Source organism: Homo sapiens, chromosome 8 (assembly GCF_000001405.40).
Source record: "Homo sapiens chromosome 8, GRCh38.p14 Primary Assembly".
NCBI classification, from domain to species: domain Eukaryota; kingdom Metazoa; phylum Chordata; class Mammalia; order Primates; family Hominidae; genus Homo; species Homo sapiens.
Genome location: NC_000008.11, coordinates 142,299,639 through 142,326,335, shown reverse-complemented (window position 1 = coordinate 142,326,335; position 26,697 = coordinate 142,299,639). Strand labels below are relative to the sequence as shown.

Here is a 26,697-nt window from a genome sequence, read left to right as displayed (position 1 = left end):
GTCTCGTGGTCTCTGGGGCCCTCCCCTTCGTTGGTGCTGGTTCGTCATCCGTCTCGTGGTCTCCGGGGCCCTCCCCTTCGCTGGTGCTGGTTCCTCATCCGTCTCATGCTCTCCAGGGCCCTCCCCTTCGCTGGTGCTGGTTCCTCATCCGTCTCGTGCTCTCCGGGGCCCTCCCCTTAGCTGGTGCTGGTTCCTCATCTGTCTCGTGGTCTCCGGGGCCCTCCCCTTCGCTGGTGCTGGTTCGTCATCCGTCTCGTGCTCTCCGGGGCCTTCACTGGTGCTGGTTCGTCATCCGTCTCATGCTCTCCAGGGCCCTCCCCTTCGCTGGTGCTGGTTCCTCATCTGTCTCATGCCCTCCGGGGCCCTCCCCTTCGCTGGTGCTGGTTCGTCATCCGTCTCGTGCTCTCCGGGGCCCTCCCCTTCGCTGGTGCTGGTTCGTCATCCGTCTCGTGCTCTCTGGGGCCCCTCCCCTTCACTGGTGCTGGTTCCTCATCCCTCTCATGCTCTCCAGGGCCCTGGTCTTCGTTGGTGCTGGTTCGTCATCCATCTACTCCAGCCTCTTTTCCTCTCTGACCTCCTCCCCTCCCTTGGTGGTGTTGCATATCCCGCAGCTCGGAATCCCTCCTCAGTGGGGCCCCAGAACCCCAGGTGTCCCTCCAGCCCTGCCACCTTCTCTCCTGCTAACTTAGGGTCCTTCTGGACTGACCTGGGGTCTCCCTGTTAGTCCCAGGCCAAGGAAGGGACCTCCAGGACCCCACGCCACCCTGCCCTCACCGGTCGTGGGCTGGCCTGTCCACTCCTCTTGAGCTGCCCCGTGTCCACGCACTTCTCACCTCCTCTCCACCTCCTGGTCCAGGCCCGGCCTTGGCCCCTGGGCTCCTGCACTGTCTCCTCTTGGCCTCCCCACCCCTAGTCTTGCCCCCGACGGTGGATTGTCCATGCAGAGCTCAAAGCGATCTTTAAAAATGTGGATCTGATCACATCAGTTCCTGCTCAGGATGTTCCACTGGCCTCCCTCCCTGTAAAGTAAAACCCAGAGTCTGTGTTGTGGCCTTTCAGGTCCGCCCAGCATGACCCTGACAACTGTAGACCTGTCTCATGGGCCACACCACCCCCTCCAGTCCCACGGCCTCAGGCTTCTGCCCGCGCTGCCCTCTGCCGGCCTCACTTCCAGGCCCGCTCAGTCCAGGCCTTGCCGGCCCACTCGCCCTGGCCACCTCCTCCACCGTGGGCGGTCCCTGGGTCTGTGCACCAACACCACTGCGTTGTGTTGACTTGGGCATCACCTGCTCATGAAACTGGGCCGTGGTCTACATGGAGTCACTCCTGGGGTGTTGCCAGGTCTAGGACGGGGCAGTGTACCTACTGGGAAAGGGCAGGAACCAGGAAATCAAACCAGCCCAGCCACAGGCTCTTCCCACAGCCCCCTCAGCCGAGGGACCGGCAGGGGCGTCGCAGTCACTAGGAACACGGACAGAGGGGCGGGAGCGCCGATTAACCACTCGAGTCTGGAGTGGGCAGCAGGGTGCCTTCCAGGGCGAGTGTGTCACCTGGAAGCTGGCATGGAGGCTGGGAGAGCTCGGGACCCGGTGCCAGGGAGCCTGGGCTGGTCCTGACCCTACCTCTGCCCACTCCAGCTCACCAGCTCCAGCCTGCAGGTGCTTTTGTGACTCAGGGCCTTGTGTCTTCGTCTGTAAAACACAGGTGGTCATGGGAGTAAATGAGCAGGTATGAGATACGCGGGACATGAGGTGCTTCTAAACGGCATCTTAAGTAATGACAAGCAAATGCGAGAGCCTCCGTACTCAGGTCGGTTCTGGCCCCGGCAGACTAGGGCAGGGCGCTAGGGCAAATGGGCCTCAGGTGACACACCCCCCAGGCAGGCCTCGCAGACTCCTCAGTCACCTGACTGCTGGCAGCAACGGCACCACCTGGCTGGTAGTACAGGAGCCGCCGAGCTGGCAGCTGTGCAGACCTCGCACAGGAGTGCTGGGAGAGGGATGCTTGGGTCAGGTTTCCTGGACCCTGTAGCCGCCTGCCTGGCCTTTCACCAAAACTGTGCAGAGCTGGCTTTGTGGGGATACATGGGTTTTGTAAAGCGGTCGTGGGGCTTCAGGTGCAGTTTGATGAAGGCTCCAGTTCACTTGGTTTCTTTTGGCTCTGCTGATGCATCAGATTCAATCTCAGGCCAGCTTCTCTTGAGGTGACAAATGGGTCTTATGGTTCCGGGCATTGCATCTGTATCCCACATTGAATGTGGAGAGATGGGCCCGCTCTCTCAATGTACAGCTAGCGTTTCCAGCCTTCTCTGCCTCACTTGGCTCCTGGCTGAAGCAGTCCAGGGCGGGTGAGGGTCACAGGTTCACTGACATGGGCCTCGCTGGTGTTGGGGTCATAAGACAGGTGCAGTCTCATCCATCTCCCTGCACTGGATCCACTGCTGTTCCCCAAGCCATGCATGCTATGGTGATGGAGTGGGACCCCTCCCTCGGTGGCCGTGAGGATGGATGGGGAAGTGAGACACAAGCGGGAGGGGCACTCTATTTGTTGTTGTGGCAACTGCCTCGTGATGGCGAGTGGGAATGCTGACATCATCAGTCCATTTTCTAGTGAGGATGGTGACTCCCTGGCTCTGACAGTGTGAGCTCCCGTGTCCTTGGGCCAAGTGCCCTGCTGGTCCTGGGTTGCTCTGTTGCCCTTGCTGAGGCACCTCGGCCTTTGGAGCAGTGTCCAGCCTCAGATTGGAGTCGCCATTTCCCGGAGGAGCCCCCTCCAGTGGGACCCACACTTGGCCTTGCTGCCCCGTTGCCCCTCACGAGGCCTCCCCTTGCCAGCAGGAGTCTGCCTAAAAGTGCGTCTTTAGGATGTCTCTCATACTTTGGCGACAGGCAGAAGTTCCAGAGAGTCCCCGATGGCTCACTGTCCACTCTGGAGACCCAGGAGGTGGCCACGAGCTGTTCCTCGCCTCGCCTGCCCCATGCCACAGTGTTCAGCCAGCCATGCTGGTGCTGCCCCCCGTGCTGCCCAAACGCATCTCCTCCTCTCATACCCCTTTGTAGCTCAGTATACATTTTAGAATCAGTTTGTCAATTATTATTTCTTTAAAAAAAAGCTTTCTATAATTTTTTGGGATTACCTTGAATCTGTGGATAAATTAAAGAACTGGCATCATAACAATATCGTCATCCAGCCCACAGACATGGCTAGGCTGGCCTTTAATAACAATATCGTCATCAGCCCACGGATGCAGCCAGGCCGGCCTTTCATAACAGTATTGTCATCCAGCCCACAGACATGTCCAGGCCGGCCTTTCATAACAATATCATCCAGCCCACAGACACGGCCAGACCGGCCTTTCATAATAGTATCGTTGTCCAACCCACGGACACGGTAAGGCCGGCCTTTCATAACAATATCATCCAGCCCATGGACACGTCCAGGCTGGCCTTTCATAACAATATCGTCATCAGCCCACAGACACGGCCAGGCCGGCCTTTCGTAATAGTATCGTTGTCCAACCCACAGACACGGTAAGGCCGGCCTTTCATAACAATATCATCCAGCCCATGGACACAGCCAGGCCAGCCTTTCATAACAACATCGTCGCCCAGCCCACAGGCACGGCCAAGCTGGACTTCCATAACAATGTCATCGTCCAGCCCACGGACACAGGCTGGCCTTTCTCTTATTTGTGTTCCTCTCCTCTCATTGGCTGCAACTCCATAGAAATATAAGAGACTTCTGTGTACTTCCTTGTATCCTGTGACCTGCATAGATTCACTCGCTGATTAGTTCCTGGAGCTTCTTTGTGGATTCCTTGGGATTTTCTATATAGATGTACATGTCTCTATGACTGAAGACAGTTTTACTCTTCATTTTCAATCTTTATGCTTCTTAGTTCTTTCCCCCTTATTCCTAGGTAAACTTATAGTATGAAGAGTAAAAGTAGTGAAAGCACACATACCTGCCTTGTTCCCCATCTTACGGGGAAGCATTCCATCTTCTGCTCTAAGTATCTTAGATGTTTGTTTTGTTTTTTATTTAACAGCCTCTCTGTATCAGGTTGAGGGAGTCCCCTTCTTTTTTCTAGTTAAGGAAACTAGGAACTAAACTAAAGGAAGTTTTAGTCTAAAATGAGTGTTGAATTTTGTCACATGCTTTTTCTGCATAATTTATTAAGATGTTTTTCTCCTTGTTAAATTTGCTCTGTTGATATGAGAATTACACTCACTGATGTTTGAATGTTGAACCAACCTTGTACCCTGTGGGTAAATGCCTCTTGGTCATGGTATACTATCTCTTTCATATATTGTTGAATTCGTTTTTCTAAAATTGTATTGAAGATTTTTGCTGCTGGGTTTGTGAGTGATATATGGGTTTCTTTCCTTTAGATTCTCTGTTTGGGTTTTGTTATCAGGGTGGTGTGAGCCTCATACAATGTGTGTCTCCTCTCTGTTTTCTAGGGGATTGCATGATATTGATATTGAAGCCTGTTGTGCCTGTGTATTTGCAGCAATGTTTTTAAGCACAAATTTACTTCTGCCATACATATAGAGCTATTTAGGTTTTCTATTTCTTTTTGAGTCAGTTTTGATATAATTCATGTCTTTTAAGGAATTTTTCTATTTCATCTTAGTTGTCAAATTTATGGGCCTGATATGATTTGTGTTTCCGTAATGTTCTTTTAATGTTGGATCTGTAGTCAGGCTCACTCTTTCATTCTTGATCTTGGTAATTTGCAAGTGTGGTTTTTTTCCCTCTTGACCTGTCTAGGCAGAGTTGTGTAATGTTTTGAATGCTTTTTTATTTTATTGTTTCTATTATTGGTCTGTTTGCTATTTTATTAATTATTGAACTTACCTTTATTATCTCTGTTCTACTTCCTTTGTGTTTAATTTGCTGGCTTCTTTAGGTGGACTTTCTGGACACTGATTTTATTCTTTTCTCTTTTCTAATATAAGAATTTAAAGCAGTAATTTCCTTGTAAGTACTGTTTTAGCTGCATCCCTTAGCTTTGTGTGTGTGTTTGTTTAAAATGTATTTTCTGCTTGTTTGAGGTAGGAGGTACTGCCTGGTACCATGGCTGTAAGTGGAGGTCTCCTCTGGGCCTTTTATTGGGACGAGCATCATGGAAGGTGGCCCCTCTGTAGTGCCATTCCGCCTGCTGCCCTTCCTTGACTGGTGGCTCTCATTCCCTACTCCCTTCATCATGTCTTGGGTTTTCTGGTTGGCAACCTCCTGTTCCCACGATGGACTTGGCAGGGTGATCTGATGCCTGGGGTATTGCCAGGTTGGGTAAGGAGGCCTTGTTCACTTTGATCCTGCATGGTGCTAACAGTTTGTGAGGGAGGCACAAATGAGACGAGATCCTGCCTGGAAAGAGAAAAGCCTGACCCACTGCCTACAGGAAACGGGCTGCCTTCGTTCCAGCACTAATGGCTCCATGAGGATGTTTCAGTGGGGGCATGAGTGAGAGCCCCTGCCACATGGGAGTCTAGAGGAGTGGAGAGGTCAGCGCGGAGCAGAGAAAAGTGTGAGTCGTGACCTGCCTGACCCTCCCAGGGGAGCTGTCTGGGCAGGTGTTGGTGCTGGGGGCGTTGCCCACGGTGGCAGCGTGACCACAGACAGCTGCTCCTGGGTCAGCAACTAGGGCTTGGTTGTCTGCATCTGGCCTAGGAAAGTGTTAAGGCAGGGATTTGTCCGGCTCATTCAGGAGCAGCAGAGACTCATGGGCCAGGAGTGAAGTGAACCCAGGGGTGGTGTGGGGAGGTGAAGTTGCAGGTACAGGAGGCCACCCACGTGGGCCTAGAACCTAGGGGTGGTGTGGGGAGGTGAAGTTGGAGGTGCAGGAGGGCAGTGTGGGGAAGTGGTCGGAGGTGCAGGAGGGCAGTGTGGGGAAGTGAAGTCGGAGGTACAGGAGGGTGGTGTGGGGAGGTGAAGTTGCAGGTGCAGGAGGGCGGTGTGGGGAGGTGAAGTCAGAGGTGCAGGAGGGTGGTGTGGGGAGGTGAAGTTGCAGATGCGGGAGGCCACCCGCGTGGGCTTAGAGCAGCGCTAGAGGGACTTTGGCTTTGACCGGAATGAGATGTGGAACTGTTGGTGAGCTCTGAGGTTTGGACTGGCAAGATCTGAACTGTCTTTAGCAGAATCGCTCAGGCCTGCTGTGCACAGAATGTGAGGGGATGCAGTGGTGAGTGGGCCGGGGACGGGAGGCCGAGTGGCAGCCCAGGGAGAGGGACAGGAGGCTGCGTGGCAGCCCAGGGTGAGGAGGGGACTGGTGGGAGCGGGGGTGAGGGGCACTCTGCTTCTGCATCCTTCTCACAGTGTTAAGCCAGTGGTTGGCCGAAGAGGCGTGTTTGGGAGCTGGAGGCACTGGAGGCTCTCCAAAGCCTCAGACGCCAGCTGCAGGAGGAGGCGGCCCTGACCAAGGCCCCGGGGAAGAAAGCTCCTGTCCCCGCGCTTCCCGCCTAGTCTGTAGTAACCTTATGGCTCCTTGCCCTCCTTGGCCCACACCCTCTCTAGCCTGCTGGGTGCCTGTTCTGGGGGGGCAGTCTTACTCCTCTGTGTGCCACAGGCTCTGCCCGCCCAGGGTGGGTATCAGGAGGTGGGCCCCGCTCCTGTAGGCTTGGCCTGCAGTGGTGGTGCCAGGCTCGCTCCCACGTGTCGGCCCCAAGGCCTGCTTGGTGCAGGTCCTGGGTGATGCCTGAGGGGCCTGCAGGGGCCTTTTGGGCTGTACTTGAAAGGGTCACTGAGGCTCCCCAGTTTCCAGCAGGCCAGGGTCCTCCCTGCACTTGGTGTGTGTGCCTGCAGCCGGGCTGGGGTACCGTTGCCCTGGTGCTCCTCTCTCCAGGGATGGGGGTGGCGAACCCCAAGCGGGAGACGGGCTGGTCTTCCCAGTTGCTTTCGAGGTCATGCTTGGAACTGTAACCTGGGACTGTCCTGGCCTCCTTGTGTCTCCCTGGGTCTGGGTGTGAGAACCGTCTCACCCGGGGCCCCTCAGAGGTGTGCACCCCTCAGAGGTGTGCAGGGGGGTGGGGACTGCTGGCCTCCCTGGGCCATGGCGCTCTTGCCCTGATTCTCCTGCTGGCTTTCCGAGGGGAGCTGACCCCGAGACGGGCCTTTCTGCAGGGAGGGCTCGTGGCTCAGCCTCCTGTCTGTGGGGTATTTGGGGGTGGTTGCGGCGGAGCAAGGTGGTCCTCGCAGTGGCCGATTGGTGGGGCCCGGCTGCCACTGTTCTGGCTGGGCCACCCACCCCAGCCAGAGCTTACCTGCGCCGTCTCTCTCTGCCTGCCTTTCTGCCCCCACTGCCTCTTGCTGTGTGTCTGCCCGTCTCCCCCGTCTCTTGCTGGGTGTCTGCCCGTCTCCCCCGTCTCTTGCTGGGTGTCTGCCTGTCTCTCCCTGTCCTGGCTCTTGGGCCCCCTCCTCTTTCTCTGTGGGAATCATCGCTGCTCTTGTCTCTGTTCCCTTCTCTCTTTCTCTGAGTCTTTGCCTCTTTCTGTTTGCTACCCTTTCCCTACTCTTGTTTTCCTCTCTGCTGTTTTCTCTGTCTCTGTGTGTCTCTCGGCCCTCTCTCCGCCTGTCCATCCATCTGTCTCTGTCTCCCCCACTCGGCCCGTGCGTCCCTGCTTGCTCCGTCCTTCTGGGCCCTTGCTCTCTGCTGCCTTCCTCCCCTGCCTTCGCTCCTGGCTCCTTCTCGGCCCCCAGGCACACGGCACAGCAGGAGACCAACAAGACCATTGCAGCCAGCGCCAGCTCCGTGAAGCAGATGGCCGAGCTGCTGCGCAGCTCCTGCCCGGTATGTTCCTGGGGTCTGGGGCTGGGAGGGAGGAGAGGAATGGACCCCTCTGCCTGTGATGGGAGCAGGGATGTCACACGAGGCAGGATACAGGGAGGCTGACGTGTGTGGATGGACACAGACTGGCCTGGCACCCAGCCTCCCATGGCTCCATGGCTCAGAACCTGTGTGCAGCCATTCAGGCAGCAGCCGTGTGCTGACCACGTGCCGGGAGCTGGTGTGGCCACCTGAACTCTTGCTGTCCTTGGCTTATGCAGTAGTGGGGACAAGAGCACCCTGGGTCTTCCTGGCAAGGCCTTACTGGAAGCTGATGGCCCGCCATTGTTTGTTTCACCATCCTCTCCCCTGCTGTGCATCCCCTGCCCCTCTGCTGCATCCGCCACCCAAGGCCACCTGCACGTGCACCCTCCCTATCCCCTCACCTACCTTGGCGCCTTATCAGACGCATGGGCCTCAAGCCAGACATATGGCCGTGGCAGTGGCCATCAGCATACCCACTGCCACAGCCATCACTACCGTTCCGGCTCAGCTGCCCCAGGGCTGTTCCCTCATTTCCACCCTGTCCGCAATTTTTTTTTGTGTTTTTGAGACGGAGTCTTGCTCTGTCTCCCAGGCTGAAGTGCAGTGGCATGATCTTGGCTCACTGCAGCTTCTGCCCCCAGGGTTCAAGTGATTCTCATGCCTCAGCCTCCTGAGTACCTGAGATTACAGGCGCCCGTCACCATGCCCAGCTAATTTTTGTGTTTTTAGTAGAGGTGGGGTTTCACCATGTTGCTCAGGCTGGTCTCAAACTCCCGGCCTCAAGTGATCCTCCCACCTCTGCCTCCCAAAGTGCTGGGATTACAGGCATGAGCCACCACGCCTGGCCCTGTCCCCACTTCTGACTGTCCCCACACCCTCCGCTCCACCACACCAGGTCAGTGCCCAGTTGCTGAAGATTGGAGGGTACTTGTGACAAAAGATTAAATACTGCTGAACCCTAAGATTTTACAGGGCAGGAGTCAGCAAGCTGCAGCCTGCTGGCCCGAACCCGCTTCATAAGCACAGTGTGAGACTCTGGCTGTACCTGCTTCATGTATACAGTGTGAGCCGCTTGCCCACACCCGCTTGATGTGTACAGTGTGAGCCGCTGGCCATACCCGCTTCACGCGTACAGTGTGAGCCGCTGGCCATACCCGCTTCACGCGTACAGTGTGAGCCGCTGGCCATACCCGCTTCACACGTACAGTGTGAGCCGCTGGCCATACCCGCTTCACGCGTACAGTGTGAGCCGCTGGCCATACCCGCTTCACGCGTACAGTGTGAGCCGCTGGTCGTACCCGCTTCACGCGTGCAGTGTGAGCCGCTGGCCATACCCGCTTCATGCGTACAGTGTGAGCCGCTGGCCATACCCGCTTCATGCGTACAGTGTGAGCCACTGGTCGTACCCACTTCACGCGTGCAGTGTGAGCCGCTGGCCATACCCGCTTCATGTGTGCAGTGTGAGCTGCTGGCCGCACCTGCTTCACGTGCACAGTGTGAGCGAGACGCCAATCTGTCCCTGCCGTAGGTGCTGCCCATAGTTGCTCTCACTGCCTTGGGAGGGCTGGGGTTGCAAGTTCGGCCTGCTGCAGAGCCAGCAGCGTGGCTCAGCCAGTCCTACAGGGGAAATGCATGCCGCCCTCCCTGTGGAAAATACATGTGACGTGGCCAGTGCCGTGTTGGGTGTGGTCAGCAGTGAGGAGCGGAGAGTTAGGCAGGCCACAATGTGGTGAGGCTGGAAGACTGCATGCCCCCACGCAAGAAAACGCACAGTGTATGGTTCTGTTTGTGTGAAACATCCAGAAAATGCAATCTGTGGAGACCAGAAGTCGATGAGCAGTTGTCAGGGTTGGGAGCAGGGCTTGGTTTTGGGGTGCCTGCAGGCAAGGCGCAGGGCCCTTTCTGGGGTGATGGGCATGTTCTAAAACTGGGTTGTGGGGATGGCTGTACAACTAAGAGTTACTGAACTCTACACTTAAAGCGGGTAGATTTTATCAGATCTAAATTAGACAGTAATAAAACTTGTACTTAAAAAAGTAGAGTCAGTTCAAAAGTTAGTTACACTAAAAAACTGTAACAGAGGCAGCAGTCCCCTGTCCAGTGATGGGGTGGCCAGAGTCTCCCTAAAGGCAGATGACAGGAACACTGGGAGCTTTGTGCTGAGCGGCCTGGAGCCTTTCCATGCATGGGTCACTCCTCATAGCCATGGCTGCCCTGCGGGGACCACTCTGTGGGGACCAGGTGCTGCCCTGGCCTGTGCCCTCGGGCAGTGATGTCAGCAGCGTCATGACCAGCATCGACGCCTGTGTCTGACCTCTTCCTCTGTAGCTTTGTTCTCCATTCTCTGACTCAGGTGTGCCTGAGTCACTTATTCATTTACTCCTTCATCCAAGAATACACGCTGGGTCCCTCTTACGGGAGGCGCTGCGCTTACGTGAGGTGCTGAGCAAGGCCCCACATGGTGGAGGGTTGCGATTCTGAGAGGCGTTTCTGTGGGGTGAGAGCAGAGTTGGGTGGTCCGTGCAGGCAGTTTCCTCGTGAAGCGAATGGCTCCTTCACGCGGCTTGGTGGGTGCACGGTCAGTGCCTACCACGTCTTTGACTCTGTGGGCCGTGGACGCTTTGATGAGATGTAGTGCCTTCGATTGTGGGAAGAGGTCAAGGCTGTGGTAGGCTGCTCCCAGTGCCCCTCGGCTGTCAGAGGTTTACCCCAGACCAGCCCGCCTTAGCCTTGGCTCTCTCCAATCCTCCGATAGCCATGGGGTGGGTGCTGGGAGGAAGCTGTGGGCTCCTTGGTGCTGCTGCTGGTGGGTGGTGTCCACGGTGAGCCAGAGCAATGAGGCGGGCCCCAGGGCTGCGTGTCCAGCCCCACCCCGGCTCCGTGCGTGTCCAGCCCCACCCCGGCTCCGTGCTTCTCCAGCTCCAGCTCTGAAGCAGGTGCCTGGTGGGCACTGAGGTGTGGTGGCGAACATCCCAGCAGGAAGGAACTGGGGTTGGTGGACCCTGGAGGCCACGGGGAGCCCAGATACAGGCGAGATGCTGGGGAGGGGGATGGTTCTGGCAGTGGCCCCACCACCTATGTGACCACAGACAAGTCACTCGGGACTCAGGGCCACGACGTCCTGCGCTGTGGAAGAGGAGTCACAGTGCTGCTCGCGGAGGTGGTGTGGGGCCGGGTTTATGTGCCTTGGGTAGCTCCTGGCTCCGGCAGGTGGTGTTGACCCCTGCACCGGATTTTGTGGTGATGGTGTCCCTGGGGACCCTGGGTGTGCCTGTGGAGACGACGGTGACACGGAGGGGAAGTAGTTGATGGCGAGCCCCATTCTGAGTGTGGGAAGGTGGGACATCGGTACGGGAGGAGGTGTGGGTGGTGGGGGCTGCTGGGGCAGGGCCAAGCCTCCCATGCCGTGCCAGCTGTACCTTCTCTGCAGCAGGAGCGTCTGCAGCAGGAGCGTCCTCAGCTGGACCGGCTGAAAACCCAGCTCTCAGATGCCATTCAGTGCTATGGAGTGGTGCAGAAGGTGAGGTGCTGGTGGGGGCAGTGGGGGTCTGCAGGCCAGGTGGGGTCGGCCTCGGTTCCCGGAGCACTGTCATGGCTGTCTTGTCCCTGTGGGCCTGGTGCAGCCCCATCCCCAAAGGCAGAGAAGAGGGTTGTTCTTGCAGACAGTCTCTAGGCAGCCAGGATCCAGACTGTGCCTCAGGGCATGTGTCCTAGAGGACATTTACCTTCAAGAGCTGACCCACAGTAGCTCTGGGGAAGCAGGAAGAACAAGTCTCACCCTGCTCTGACAGGTGAGGAAACTGGGGCCCAGAGAGCTCCCACGCGTGGACAGAGGCCATCCAGCGACTCGCTGGCAGAGCTCAGCCCCGGCCCTGGCAGCCTCTTCTGGGAGTGGCATGGACAGAGGCCATCCAGCGAGTCGCTGGCAGAGCTCAGCCCCGGCCCCGGCAGCCTCTTCTGGGAGTGGCAGGCGTGTTTTGCTGCACCGTCGTCCAGAGCCCTGCACTCAGCTGACCATTTCTTCTCCCTTCCCCACCCTTTTTGCTCTTCCTGTCTTTCTTCTCTTGTCCTTTTTTCAACAGAAAATTGCAGAAAAGTCCAGAGCGCTGCTTCCCATGGCGCAGAGGGGCAGTAAACAGGTGGGTGCCGAGTACTGACCATGGTCAGTGGCTGTTAGGGGACAGCCCAGAATCCGCTGCCATCTGTGCTCCATGGAAGGGCGGGGAGGGCCAAGGGCAGGGGTGTCATCTGAGGGGCGCCCTGAGGCACAGCCTTGAAAACGTGGGCATTTTGACCTTTGGGCCCTGGCACAGTGCCTGACAAGGGCTCAGCTCCCAAAGAATGACTGCGGACGGTGCCATGTGCTGGGCAGGACTCACAGGTCAGACCAGCTCTCCTGCTGAGAGCCACTGTGAAACCTGGGTGAAAACACACACACACACGTGGCCGGGCGCGGTGGCTCACGCCTGGAGTCCCAGCACTGTGGGAGGCCGAGGTGGGCGGATCACCTGAGGTCAGGGGTTCAAGATCAGCCTGGCCAACATGGAGACAACCCATCTCTACTAAAAATACAAAAATTAGCTAGGCGTGGTGGCGAGCACCTGTCATCCCAGCTACATGGGAGGCTGAGGCAGGAGAATTGCTTGAATCCAGGAGGCAGGGCCGAGGTTCCAGTGAGCCGAGATCACGCCACTGCATTCCAGCCTGGGCGACAGAGTGAGATTCTGTCTCAAAAACAAAAACAAAAACAAAAAACACAGGCACATGCATACAGAAAAATGCACACATAGATGCACACAGACATGCAGACACACAGATAAACACAGATGCACAGAGATAAACACACAGAGACACAGACACACAGAGACTTGCAGAGACAGAGCTAGAGACACACAGATACACAGAGACATACAGATAAACACACATAGAGACACATGCAGATAAACACAGATGCGCAGACACATGCAGGTAAACAGACATGCAGACCCATGCAGATAAACACAGACATGTAGACACATGCAGATAAACACACAGAGACACAGATAAACACAGACATGCAGACACATGCAGATAAACAGACATGTAGACAACATGCAGATAAACACACAGACACATAAACACAGACACGCAGACACATAGACATGCAGACACATACAGATAAAGAGACATGTAGAGACACACAGATAAACACACAGAGACACAGACATGCAGACACAGATAAACACAGACACATGCAGATAAACAGACATGCAGACCAATGCAGATAAACACAGACATCTAGACACATGCAGATAAACACAGACACGCAGACACGTGCAGATAAACACAGACATGTAGACATGCAGATAAACACACAGAGACACAGATAGACATGCAGACACACATGCAGATAAATGCAGACACACGGATAAACAGTCACGCAGACATGAAGAGATGCAGATAAACACAGACACACAGACACATGCAGATAAACACAGACATGTAGACACATGCAGATAGACACCCAGAGACACACAGATAGATGCAGACATGCAGACACACATGGATCCAACATGGGGGAAACATCGGAGCAGCTGGGAGCCAAGCCTAGAGAGGCACGCATTCCCAGATCACTCAGGCTCATCATCACTGCCTTCTCACCCCCAGGACATTTGCCAGCTTGTGTCTCAGCTTATTGAGACTGAACAGCAGTGGTGGCTTATAGCTTTAGTGGTCTTACTGGGCTGGAGAGGCAAAAATTAGAGTTCAGGACCCTTAGGAATAAAACCCTAGAGCACAAGGGGATTGCAGCACTCGGTCCGTTTTCCCCTTGAGGCAGGCTTTTGCTGATCCATATTCGCTGGTGTGTGCGTGATGTGAGAGTCTAAGAAGTCAAGCAACAAGTACTTTACAGGAAAAGCTGAACAGAAATTGGAGTACCCTCAGAGTACTAAGAAGACGAAAGTTGGATTTTAAGGCCCACCCAGGAGGAGGGACTCTTGTAAACACAAGTTCTGCTTGAGACCATGAGAGATGAAGGTAAACCAGAAGTAGACCAGCCCTGACCAACCAAACCTAAAGTATAGCCTGGAATCATGTCTATGTTGTCTCTCCAAAGACAGAGGACAATCCCATCATCTAGAATCTCTGCAATTTTTCATACAGTGTTTGGGATTTAAGCCAAAGTCATCAGGCATCATAGGTAACAGGATCCAATTACTAAAGCCAAGGAAAAACAGGAAGTAGAAACTGACCAACAGGTGATGCAGATATTCAAATAGTTGGTTGGACACTCAGCTTATAGGTTGAGCATCCCTAAGTTAAAACTCCAAAATCCAAAATGCTCCAAAATCTGAAACTTGTTGAGCCAACCTGACGCACAAAGGAAATGCTCATTGGAACATTTAGGTTTTTGGATTTTTGATGAGGAATGTTCATCCAATAAGTACAATGCAGATATTCCAAAATCTGAAAATAAAATCCAAAATCTGAAAACAAGTTCAAAATCTGAAACACTTCTGGTCCCAAGCATTCTGGATGAGGGATATTCAATCTGTGTTATTAACATGTGAAAGGAAATAGTAAATGGTATAGACTTTTACCAGAGAACTTACATTTTATTTTAAAAAGGGAGTTCTGGTATTGAACAATATAATTAAAATTAAGAATTTAGTGGGTTAGCTAAATCTCCACATAGACAAAGCAGAAAAAAGGATTGGTGAATTAGAAGGCTGGGTATAAGAAAACTTATATTGAAATGCAAAAGAAAAAATGATAGAAAATCTAAAGAATATAGAGTCCTAGATGAACAGGAGAGAGAGAAAATGGATAGAAATAATATTTGAAGAGGTAACGATTGAGAGTTTTCCAAAACTGTCCAAATACTTCAAGTCACAGATTCAAGAAGCTCTATGAATAGATAAATTTCTCCTTTTAAAAAACCACCCTTGCCAGGCGTGGTGGCTCATGCTTGTATCCCAGCACTTTGGGAGGCCGAGGTGGGTGGATCACCTGAGGTTGGGAGTTCGAGACCAGCCTGACCAACATGGAGAAACCCTGTCTCTACTAAAAATACAAAATTAGCCGGGTGTGGTGGCACATGCCTGTAATTCCACCTACTCGGGAGGCTGAAGCAGGAGAACCACTTGAACCCGGGAGGCAGAGGCTGTGGTGAGCCGAGATTGTGCCATTGCACTCCAGCCTGGGCAACAAGAGCAAAACTCCATCTCAAAAAAAAAAAAAAAAAAAAAAAACTAGAGAGGCTGAGGCAGGAGAATCGCTTGAATCTGGGAGGCGCAGGTTGCAGTGAGCCAAGATTGCCATTGCACTCCAGTCTGGGCAACAAGAGCGAAACTCCGTCTCAAATAATTAAAAAAAAAAAAACAACCACCCTTGGCTGGGTGCAGTGGCTCACGCCTGTAATCCCAGCACTTTGGGAGGCCGAGGCAGGTGGATCACTTGAGGTCAGGAGTTTGAGTCCAGCCTGACCAACATGGTGAAACCCCGTCTCTACTAAAAATACATAATTTTTGTCGGGTGTGGTGGCAGGTGCCTGTAATCCCAGCTACTCAGGAGGCTGAGGCCGAGAATTGCTTGAACCTGGGTGATGGAGGTTGCAGTGAGCTGAGAGCATGCCATTTCATTCCAGCCTGGGGGACGGAGCAAAACTGTCTCAAAAAAGAAAAAACAAAAACAAGCAAAAACACCCTTGGTCATAGCATGATAAAAATTTGAAAACCAAAGGCAAAAATAAAATCTTAGAAAAGCAGATTCAAACTAGAAAAAAAATGTTAAGAGCACATTAAAGTCAGAGAAAAAAGTCACATGATTTTTAAAGGGACAAGACTGACACCTGACTTTCTTAGAAGAAACGATGGAATCCAGAAGACAGTGGAAATGTGCCTTCAAAACGCATGAGAAAAATAACTAATCTCCAGCTGCACCTTGGGGAAGACATGCTTCAGAAATAAAGGTGAAGTGAAAACAGTTTTAGAGGCACAAAAATGAGAGAACTCCTCATCAACAGAACCCCCTCCACGTGGAAAAGGAGTGATCTCAGAGGGAAGCGTGTCCCGGAGGAGGGAGTAAGGGACAATGGAAACAGTTGATGTGGCTGCGCCCAGGTTAACGTCGACGGTGGAACGGTGATGATGAGGACTGGCGGGCTTCAGATTATGGTCAGGTGTGTGCTATTGACAAAATGGCCCAGAAGACAGAGGGGAGGCAAATAGTGTTAAAGTGTCATGACGTCCTCGCATCATCAGAGAAGTAACATACACATCGAGGGCAGACTGAGTAAGTGTTATGTAGTAATATATGCAATTACTAAGGCAGAAATTAACGAAATATAAAACACGTTCAGTAGGCAAGTTAGCAAAGCCAAAATAATTGGCTCTTTGAAAGGGTTGTTAAACCCCTACAAGATTAATCAAGATAGAAAAAGAAAATACAGATTACCAGTTGTCAGAATGAAAATGGATAGATCATTACCAGTCCTACACATTAAAAAAAGAAAAACGCAGGGATGTTATAAACATCAATAAATTTGACAACTTAGAGGAGACTTTTTTTTTAGAAAACAATTTACCAAGAGGTACAGAAAATCTGGGAGTTTAATATTTATTAAAAAATTAAATCCATAATTTAAAAATATCCCACAAAGAAAACTCTAGACCTCAATAGCTGTATGGGTGAATTCAGTCCCATATTTGAGCAGTAGCTAGCAGCAGTTTACACATGCTGTTACAGAGAATACGGCAGGAGGAAGCACACCTTGCCTGCCTCATGAGGCCCCAGTACCTTGATTCCAGATTCTTACGAGGTTCCCAGGAAGGAAAATAACATGCCTGTCTCTGTTATGAACATAGACACAAAAGTCCTAAATATTAGTAACTTCAATCTAGCAATCTGTGAAAGGATGATCCATCATTATAAAGTGGGCTTTATTGTAGGGATGCAGGATTGATTTGCATTCAGAGTCTGTGTGTGATTCACCATGTAATATAGAATAAGTGAGGAAATGTGTACAGGTCATTTCAACAGATAGAAAAAAGCACTCGATAAAATTCAGCACTCAAGGAGGCTAAAAAACTCTTGGCAAACTAGGAATAGATAGGAGTGCCTTTAATCTGCCAGAAGGTATCTTCAAAAACCCTACAGTTAACGTTAGGCTTACTGAGGGATGTTAAAGTCTTTTCTCCTAAGATAGAAGATAAAACTAGGGCATCTAGTACTGTGGTTTCTGTTCCCCATTGTGCCAGAAGTTGTATCCAACGCAGTATGGCATGAAAAAAAAGAGTAGGATTGAGAAGAAACTGTGTTTCATAGACAGTGTGATTATGTCCATGGAAAATCCGAACGCACCTGTAGCGTGCTGTCAGAATTCATCAGTGAATGCGGCAGGACAGGTCACTAGACAAGAAGACATTGTGTATGCTGGCAAAAGACAGTTTGGAGAGGAAATTTAAAGACTGATATAATAAATTTATTACAATAGATAAATTTCTTCAAAAAATTCTATGAAGAGCGGTTTAAGGCCTCTACATTAAAAAACATGCCACATTACTAAGAGAAATGACAGATGACCTAAACCACGGAGGGGTTGCTGTGCTTATGGAGATGTCAGCTCTCACCCAGTGGATGATCTAAACCATGGAGGGGATACCGTGTGTATGGAGATGTCAGCTCTCACCCAGTGAATCTGTAGGCTCAATACAATCCCAATAAGGTTCCAGCAGGTTTTCAGTGTGTGTGTGTGTGAACTGTCAAGCTGATTCCAAAATGTATATGGAAATATGAAAGACCCAAGATAGCAAAGGCAATTTTGAAGAAGAACGAAAGGGATTTATACTATCAGGTATTGGAACACACTATAAAGCACAGAAATGAAAACAGTGTGGTGTTTGTGTGAGGCTAGACACACCAGCCCGTGGACACACCAGCCCACGGACACACCAAGCCGTGGACACACCAGCCTATGGACACACCAACGCATGGGACAGGGTGGAGACTGGACACGGACCACACGTACGTGGCGGCTGGGTTTGTGGCCGAGGTGGACTGCCCTGCCACGGGAGGTGGGTGATTCATTCAGAGCTTGATACGGATCACTCGGATGTTTGAACTGGAAAAAAAGGACCCTTTGCAAACGTCAGCTCACCCTGTGCAGAAAGCACTTCCAGCCGGACTACAGACCCACGTGCGAAAGATAAGGCAGTAGCACATCCAGAAGGCACCATGGGAGGCTCCCCGACGCCTTCACGGTGGACAAGTATTTCTTACACAGACGCACAAGTGCCAACCGCAAAGGAGAAGGTCGACACACTTTGTTAAAATTATACCCCAGGAAGAGAGTGCAGCCCACAGCACAAGACAGGGCGTTTGTACAACACGTGTGAAAAGGACTTACATCCTTAATATATAAAGATATCTTACAAATCAACAAGGAAAGGGCAGACAACTCTATTGAAAAACAATGAAAGGACAGCAGCTTTCCACAGGCACCTCACAGAAGAGGATTCCGGTTGGCTCATAAGCCTGTGATTGTGTACTTGGCAACACGAGTTATCAGAAAAATGGCAAAGAAACCCATGATGGTAAATCACCACACACCACACCCACACAAATAACTAGAGCAAACATGAGTGAAAACCTCTGCAAAAGCCGGGCGTGGGCTGCGTGCAGGCGGTTGCACTCTCATGCCTTTACTGGTGGGGTGTGCCTTTGCATCACCACTTTGGAACACTGTTCGAGAATATCAAGTTCAGCATTTTCTGACCTAGGATCTTGCAGTTCTGCCCAACAGACATGCATATTCAGTTGGCCCTTCGTATCCATGAGTTTCACATCCATGGATTCCACCACTCAGACTGAAAATATTTTTAAAAGATGGCAGCTGTTCTGAACATGGACAGCCTCTTCTTTTCTTGTCATCATTTCCAAAACAATACGGCAGAACAACTATGCTATTTACTACATAGCATTTACATCATATTAAATATTATAGGCAACCTAGAGGTGATTTAAATATATGGGAGGATGTGCGTAGGTTGTATGAAAATACCAAGTCATTTTATATCAGGGACTTGCGCACCCACAGATTCTGGTATCTGTGGAAGTCCTCGGCCACTCCCCCGTGGAGACAGGACAACTGTGTGTTGACAGAAGTCACATGGGAGAATGCTCATAGCAGCCCCCACGCAGTGACACAACCTGGAACACCGCCCAGTCTGACCAGCACAGAAAAGCAGCACCTGCTGAATTCATGCCACGGGGGACTCCACAGCAGCCAAAAGAGTGAGCTGTGGCCACCACGCCCACTGGTGATGTCTCGGACATAACGCTGAGTCCAAGCTGAATTCATGCCACTGGGGACTCTACAGCAGCCAAAAGAGTGAGCTGTGGCTACTGTATGATCAGTGGCCCCACCAGTGATGCCTCGGACATAACGCTGAGTCCAAGAAGCCTGAGACCCAAGGGGATAGACTGTGGGATTCCATTTCTGTAGTATTCAGAACCAGGCCCCACTGGTGGACAGTGTTAGAAGTTGGAACTGGGTTCTCCTCTGTTGGGGGCCTGGGATGACAGGTGCTGGAGGGAGGCCCCGGGGGTCCTGACCAGTGTCCTGTGTCTTGGCTGGGATGTGTTTCCTTTGTGAGCAGTCATAGAGCTATATCCTTTGCACCTGGCATTGAAACACAGATGTATTGCCTTTCGGTAGAATTTTCTTTTAAAAAGGTGGGGAGTGGCCAGTAGTGCTTCTGAGAAATCATGGAAGGTTAGATTATTTCTAGGAATTTGCAAACTATAAATGATGAGATGATATGCAACCCTGTTCAACAAAAGGACTGTTGCCAAGTTGATGCTAGGCTGATGTGGGGGGACTGGGGGGCTGCTACTCACAGGCCGGGCAGCCCTGGCAGGTGCGAGGGGCACTTGCTGCCTTCCCCGTCTCTTGCCTGTCTCCCCTGGGTGTGGGGTGAGCAGCTCAGCCTGTGTGGAGTTGGCGATCCTGGCTGTGGTCCGTAGTTTTCAGCTGGGTCGAGGGTCAGTCTCAGACCCAGCTTGGGCTCAGCCAGTGAGCAGCATCCCAGTCCCTGGGGCAGCATCAGGGCAATGGCCCCAGTGGCAGGTCATGCTCTGTCTCTGCCGTCACTGGCCACCTCAGCCTACATTTCCACCAGGACTTCGTGTGTCCCCAGCCGGGCTGCAGAAGTGAAGACCTGCTTCACTCTCACGGGCTGGCTGGAAATTGCCTAGACACGCCTCCATGTTTGAGGCACAGGGCTGGAGGTCGCCCCTTGTCTCTGGGTCCATTTCCCTTTGATTTAACGTGGGGCTGGGGGAAGCATTGCCACAGCCGTGTCCGTCCTGATGTTCTGGGCTTTGCCTCCAGAGACTCCACCAGTGAATAAATAGAGTCTGTTGCTGCTTGGAGGAAACAGTGAGCTATCTGGGGCTCCTGAAAAGACACCACCACTCCCTGTGTGAGCGCCTCTTGCCCTGGCCCCTGCCCTCCCTCGGGTCGGAGTGCATGAGAAAGTGGTCTCCTTCCCAGAGCCTTGGAGAGCCCTGAGCGCCGGCCTCGGGTCCCTGCTTTCTGAATGCCTGGCAGAGCGGAGTCTCTTCCCACGGGAAACCGTGTGTGCCCTGTCTCCAGCACTCACGTTAGAGCATGTCTCTTCCCTACGTGTCGGAACAGGGACCCAGGCCCTGAGCCCTGTGGGGAGGAGAAAGCCGCCTTTGTCTGTCTGCCTCTTGAGCTGGAAAACTATCACAGGGCCGTCCCCTCTGCGCTTGCCCCAGCACCTTGCCAGCAAATCCCTAATCCCAGCCTCGGAGCTCAAGACCCAAATTGGGCCTTTGTGGGGAGAATAAAGGAGCGCTTTGTGAGCCTTTCAGGAGGAGGCCGCGGAGGGACCCGGGCGTCTAAGCCATCTCTTCCTCCCCTGGCTTTTGTCCTGCACTGCTGGGGAGAGCGGCACCAGGCCCCCGATCCTCCCGCTGTGGAGGTGAGGGAGACCGAGCACCTGCGGGGTCTCCTCTGGCCCGCACCCCAGCCCTGCCGCCTTCCTGGGTGTCCACACGGCTCGCATCCCAGTGTGACTGCCTTCCTGGGTGTCCACACAGCCCGCACCCCAGCCTGGCCGCTTTCCTGGGCGTCCACACGGAACCCCGTTTGCACCCCCCTCCCACCCCTGCGCCCTCCCCTATCCTCCTGAGCTTCCCCTTCTCCACATGCAGGAGGTGGCATCAATCCCAAGGCACAGATCCGAGGCAGGTCTCCATGGGTGCCTGGCACCCTCTGCCCACAGCTCCTGGGGAGCTGTCACTGAAACCCCCAAGTCCAGGGAACATCGCACAGAACGTCCTGTGGTGCCTTCTCCACCTGGCCATCTCACTCGCCCGCATTAGCTGCCCTGGAGGATTTCATCGTGGGAGGGAGCACATTTCCTCCAGCCCCCTCGCCTGTGGCTGTTTGCTGTCAGGGCCGAGGGCAGGCTCCTACATCTCCGTCCTCGGGCACACCAGCCGGGCTGCCCCGGGGACCTCTTACCTCAAAAGTTTGTTATGTTTACCTGGGGGCTTTGACTTTACCCAGGCCACGGGACCCCAGTCAGTGGGGCTGTTGTAGGGCCTGTCACCGCTGGCAGGAGGAGGCTGTGCTCAACCGTCATGCCGCTCTCCAGGGGCGTGTATGGCCATGTCCCCCCTGGGAGGAACGTCTCTACCCCGTAGCTCACAGCGTTGGGAAAAGCACAGCTCAACCTGGTTTCCCACCTGAGTCCGGAAGGTGGCATCTCATGGCATCTCTGCTGTATGCTGCAGCCTTGCATGCCTCAGCTCGAGCTCTCCAGGCGACACTAGGACGTGCTGAGGTCAGCTCCATCCCCTGGAAGTGAAAGCTGGAGGCTCAGGGAAGCTGAGGACCCTCCCCAGGCCCACACAGGAAGTGAAGGGCAGTGTTCCTGAGCCCTCACACCTTAGGAGAGCCTCGTGCTCGGGTTCCTGGTGGAGTGAGGTGCACAGCTGCTGTGCTCTGCAGACATGAGGGGTCAGACCGTGTGGGTGGAGCTTGAGGGGCATAGACCACGGGGCTGTGAGTGCCGCTGCTCCCATTCTACAGATGAGGACAGTGAGGCCCAGAGAAGGGCGTGGCATGCCTGGGGCCTCACAGCCGGCACCACTGCTGGGCCGGAACCTGAGCCCAGGCTCTTTCTGCAAGAGCCCCGGAAGCCTAGGGGCTGGAGCCGTAGGAAGGAGGCGTTGGGGTTGCTGGGCTTGGCGCGAGGCCAGCGCCTCCCTGGGCTCCCACCGCCAGGCACTGCTCACTTCCTCCCGCCCACTCCAGGAAGGGGAGGTGATAATTACCACCTTGGACGAGTTGCGCTTGTCAACAGATTTTTTAGATCTTTTATTTTATATTCATCTATCCACATATTTATTTATTTAAAGGCTTCTGCTAGCTTCTACCCGTGTCAGGGTGGTGTGTAGGAAGAAGCTGGCTTGGGAAGGAGAACCTGGCTAGGGCAGCCTCACCATCCCACCTGCAGGACCTGGGCAAGGTGCCCTTTAGACGAGGGTGGCCGTGCCCCTGCCGAGGGGCCTGAGGAAATGGGAGAAAGGAAGTAGCACCTAGCCTCGTGCTGCATCCCTCCTGGGGTGGCCGGTGCTGTGGCTGTTGGTCCTGTTGTCTCCAGCCTCATGCCACGTCCCTCTAAGGTTGCTGTGGCTGTTGGTCCTGTTGTCACCAGCCGTCTCGGCAGACTGTGGGGACTAGTGAGGTCGCCCCATCCTGGATGCAGTCATACCAGCATACAGCCCTCCTAGCCTCGCACCTGCCTGGGGTGGCTTCTGCCAGAAACGCAATGAAGTGCTTGTTTGTAGATCCACTGGTTCGGTGTCCAGCCGGGGTTCATCTGTCTGTATTTGGTTGTCACCTGTCCATCTGCTCCAGTCCCAGTGCCTGGCGTAGGGTGGGTACCATGGGCCCCCCATGGGTGTTCCTGGAAAGAAAAGCATGTGAGACGGGGCGGAGCCCTCCGTCTCCTGTGTGGTGTCTGGGGTCTTCCTTCCAGCGGCCAAGGCGCAGTCCTCTCCCCACCTTGGCCAAGAGAGGGTTCTCGGGCCTCAGGAGGCGGGGCACCTCGCTGGGCCCTGGGCATAAACGGGACCCAGGCTGGGCGGTTTTTGGGAGCAGCACCTGCTGGGAAGCCAGGCAGGGCCAGTGACTGCTCCAGGGGAGGTGATCCCCCTGCTACCCCGGGAGGCCTCCCCAGGAGCGCTCACAGAGCTTCCTCTGGCCTGGGGTCTCTGCACGTGCCCACCCTGAGCTACATGGCATGGTGAGGCAGCTTTCAGTTTGGGAAAGGGCAGAAGATGAGCAAGTTGCAGCCTCTACAGCTTCTTTGCAGGGCGACTGAGGTTATAGTCCCCGAGCGCTGGGGGAGCCGGCAGAGCAGGTCCTGTGAGCCAGGCTGCCCTGCAGCCCATGTCCCCAGATGCCCACACACACGGGAGGGGCATGGCAAGAGCTCTGGACGTGAGTGGGATGGGTTGGGGTGGCAGCTGTACCCCTAGTGCCTCCATGCTTAGTGCTGACGGAGGATCCTTCACTGTGCCTTGCCTCCTGGCCTGCATGGCCAGCTGCTCTTGGTGGACAGTGCTGTCCCTAGGCACAGCGGAGGCCAGCAGGGTCCAGTGGGGAGAGATGAGGCAGAGAGGTTGCCTGCACCCCAGGTCTAGCCTGGATTTCCATTCCCAGTCAGTTCCACACATTGCACCCAGATCTCATGCCTAGGGCGACACCTAGGCAGGGCCCTGTGCCCTCAGAGGCTAGGACCTGGCAAAGCTGTCCACACTGCCTGAGGGCCCTGATGAGCAGAGGCGCAAAGCTGGCTGGGACCCCGTGCTTTGCGGGGCCTTTCCCAGACCTGGGAGAGGACGTTGATTATGTTCCCCGCAGAGGGCTGGGGAGACGGGGGTGGGGACAGCAAGGGAGGGGGCCTGTGGCTGAGTCCCTGGCTATGGTGTGAGCTGGGCAGCCCCCATCCTGAGAGTCCTGTCCCAGCAGGGGCTCTGATCCAGGCCCAGCAACTGTGCCTCCTGCCCCACTGCCACAGAAGGCCCCGAGGCATCGGGACCGGCACAGCCCCCACCTCTGTCAGATCCTCCTGTCCAGACGTGGTGACACCTACTGGGCCAAGACCAGTGGCCGGACGAGTCAGCTGGGAGAGCACCTGCCTGGGCAGGCAGGGTGGTCTGAGGATTTGTGTCAGGGGGTGTGTGTGGGCATAGCATGAGTGAAGCTGAGGGGAAGCTGGATCTGGGGGCAGGGCTGAGGGCGCCATGGGTCTGCTCCTGAGGGCTGCAGGAGCAGCAGCCTGGCCAGGTTTGCTGAATTGCACGTTCACTGCAGAGTGGCTTGGGTGGCTGTGAACTCCCTGAGTCTCCCATATGGTGGGTGGGGGGTCATTACGGTGCCCCAGGAGCATGAGGAGCAAGTAAAGGTAGCAGTGGCCGGCGTGGCATCAGTGGGCCTGGCACACGTGGCACTGTTCGTTGTCAGCCATCCCCACCGCTGTCGCCTTGTCCTTGCACTCACCGAACCTTGATGTGTGTCTGAGGGCAGGCGCTGCTGCAGAGCCCCACGGGCTCGCCCTGATTTAGCATGGTGCCAGCCCCACCTCGCTCTGCCTCAGTGTCCTCGGCTGTTGTGGAGGCCCTGGCTCCTCCCTGCAGGGTTTTCAGGAAGATCGGGGGCACGGCTGAGTGGAGCAGGTGCTCCTGGTGAGGCCGGTCCTGGCCAGGCCGCCACCTCAGTTTTCTGCTCTGCCCATTCTCGGTGCCTTTTCCTGTCTCCCTTTTTCCCTCACACACACACAATGTCACATGGTCACACATCCCACAACCACACAGGCACTCACAGTCACACATGCATAACCACACACACCTTCCTAAGGTGAAGGAAGGCCCGCTGGCATGGGCAGGGCAGGTGGGGGGCACTGTGGCCGGGCTCCTGACGGGAGGGGAAGGAAGGCCCGCTGGCATGGGCAGGGCAGGTGGGGGCACTGTGGGCTCCTGACGGGAGGGGAAGGAAGGCCCGCTGGCATGGGCAGGGCAGGTGGGGGGCACTGTGGCCGGGCTCCTGACGGGAGGGGAAGGAAGGCCTGCTGGCATGGGCAGGGCAGGTGGGGGCACTGCGGGCTCCTGACGGGAGGGGAAGGAAGGCCCGCTGGCATGGGCAGGGCAGGTGGGGGCACTGCGGGCTCCTGACGGGAGGGGAAGGAAGGCCCGCTGGCATGGGCAGGGCAGGTGGGGGGCACTGTGGCCGGGCTCCTGACGGGAGGGGAAGGAAGGCCCGCTGGCATGGGCAGGGCAAGTGGGGGGCACTGTGGCCAGGCTCCTGGCGGGAGGTGAAGGAAGGCCTGCTGGCATGGGCAGGGAAGGTGGGGGGCACTGTGGCCGGGCTCCTGACGGGAGGGGAGGAAGGGCTGTGGGGTGGGATCACCGCTGTTGTCGCGTTTTCAGTTCGGTATGAACGTGTGCACCTGGAGGGGGCGGCCGCAGCATGGACCCTTCCTGCCTCCTGCCCACCCTCCCCTCTGCTGGGTGCTCCCGGGCCCCTACACCCCCACTTGGGACCTGATGCGGGGGGGCTGATGACACTGGGGACTGACGTCTGTGGTCTTTCCCAGGTGACCGGCGCCTGGGAGGCCCAGATTGATGCCCAGTGACAGGCTCGTGGCCGCAGAAGGCCCCCGCCTCAGACCCAGATCGTCCCCTCAGAGAGCAGATGGGGATAGTGAAGGGAAAAGCACCATTTTGTTGAATTTCTGGGCCTGGGTTGTGGTGGTAATGGGAGGGGTCAGTGCTAACAAGATCTGTCTGTCATCAGCAGAGTCCCCAGGCCCCGTTTGCCGAGCTGGCTGATGATGAGAAGGTCTTTAACGGGAGTGACAACATGTGGCAGGGCCAGGAGCAGGCGCTGCTCCCGGACATCACTGAAGAGGACCTGGAGGCCATCCGGCTGCGGGAGGAGGCCATCCTGCAGATGGAGGTGAGGCTGGCGTGGGCAAGCGTGCTCACTCTCCACACTCCACATGAGGCTGGGAACCAGAGGAGCCCAGGTGCCAGCCTGCTGCACCATTGCTTGCCCTTGACCTGGAGGGGCTGGAACTAGGCCTCCATGGCCTTGCCCATTCTAACCACCTCTCTCTGGCCATCTGGTCCAATAAGGGAGAGACGGGAGTCTGGGAGCCCCATCCCCATCCCCTCCTTCCTGGGTTTCCCTAATAGGGCACAGCCCTCTGGCCAGGAGCTGGGGTCTATGCTGGGGTAGCCTCTCAGTCACCATGGCCATTTCATTTGCTGTGTGGTTAGACTTCCAGGAGGCTGTTTAGCTCTAATGAAGATGATTTGGTGCTTAATGCAGTTCCCAGTAACTTTTTTTTGAAAGGTTGAATAAATTGCTCAGAACCGAACCTGCAATTTGGTGGTGCTACCAGCAGGTGGTGGGGTGAGCTGTCGGGGTACAACTGTAGAGTGTGGGCATTGGATGCTGCTTATTTTTCGTTTCTTTAAAGTTTACACATGTATAATACTTATTTTTTACACATGTATAATGCTTATTTTTCATTTCTTTAAAGTTTACACATGTATAATACCTGCTGCCAAATGTGTCTCTAGCCTATGGTTAATCTCTTAAGACAGTTGCTAAAACAGAGTATCCCAAGAGGCACCTGAGTCTGAGCATGTGTGTATGTATGTGTGTGTGAGTGCATGCACGTATGCATGTGTGTGTGCACGTGTGTGCGTGCATGTGAGTGCGTGCGTGAGTGCGTGTGTGTGCATGCGTGTGATGCATGTGAGTGCGTGTGTGCATGCAAGTATGCGTGCGTGCGTGA

At 54.5% G+C, this 26,697-nt stretch overlaps 1 protein-coding gene across 47 annotated transcripts in view, besides 2 other annotated features; it reads left to right on the top strand.

Annotated features, from left to right (window-relative positions):
* TSNARE1 (t-SNARE domain containing 1) overlaps positions 1-26,697 on the top strand; it is a 194,950-nt gene that overhangs the window by 80,694 nt on the left and 87,559 nt on the right. For 12 of the 47 annotated variants that reach the window (NM_001363740.2, XM_047421488.1, XM_047421486.1 and 9 more), the window contains 4 exons: positions 7,702-7,792; positions 11,244-11,333; positions 11,896-11,952; positions 25,689-25,850. In NM_001363740.2, coding sequence (NP_001350669.1) covers positions 7,702-7,792; positions 11,244-11,333; positions 11,896-11,952; positions 25,689-25,850 — 400 coding nt within the window. Of the gene's footprint in view, positions 1-7,701; positions 7,793-11,243; positions 11,334-11,604; positions 11,953-25,688; positions 26,469-26,697 lie in introns of those variants that run through there. The other 35 variants (NM_145003.5, XM_047421483.1, XM_047421484.1 and 32 more) reach the window with 9 other exon arrangements.
* Positions 168-367: an enhancer, noted in NCBI's record as "active region_28058". NCBI's record gives its function as "activates an Ori minimal core promoter by ATAC-STARR-seq in GM12878 lymphoblastoid cells {active_cell/tissue: GM12878}" and the evidence as "EXISTENCE:reporter gene assay evidence [ECO:0000049][PMID:35858748]".
* Positions 21,795-21,884: an enhancer, noted in NCBI's record as "active region_28057". NCBI's record gives its function as "activates an Ori minimal core promoter by ATAC-STARR-seq in GM12878 lymphoblastoid cells {active_cell/tissue: GM12878}" and the evidence as "EXISTENCE:reporter gene assay evidence [ECO:0000049][PMID:35858748]".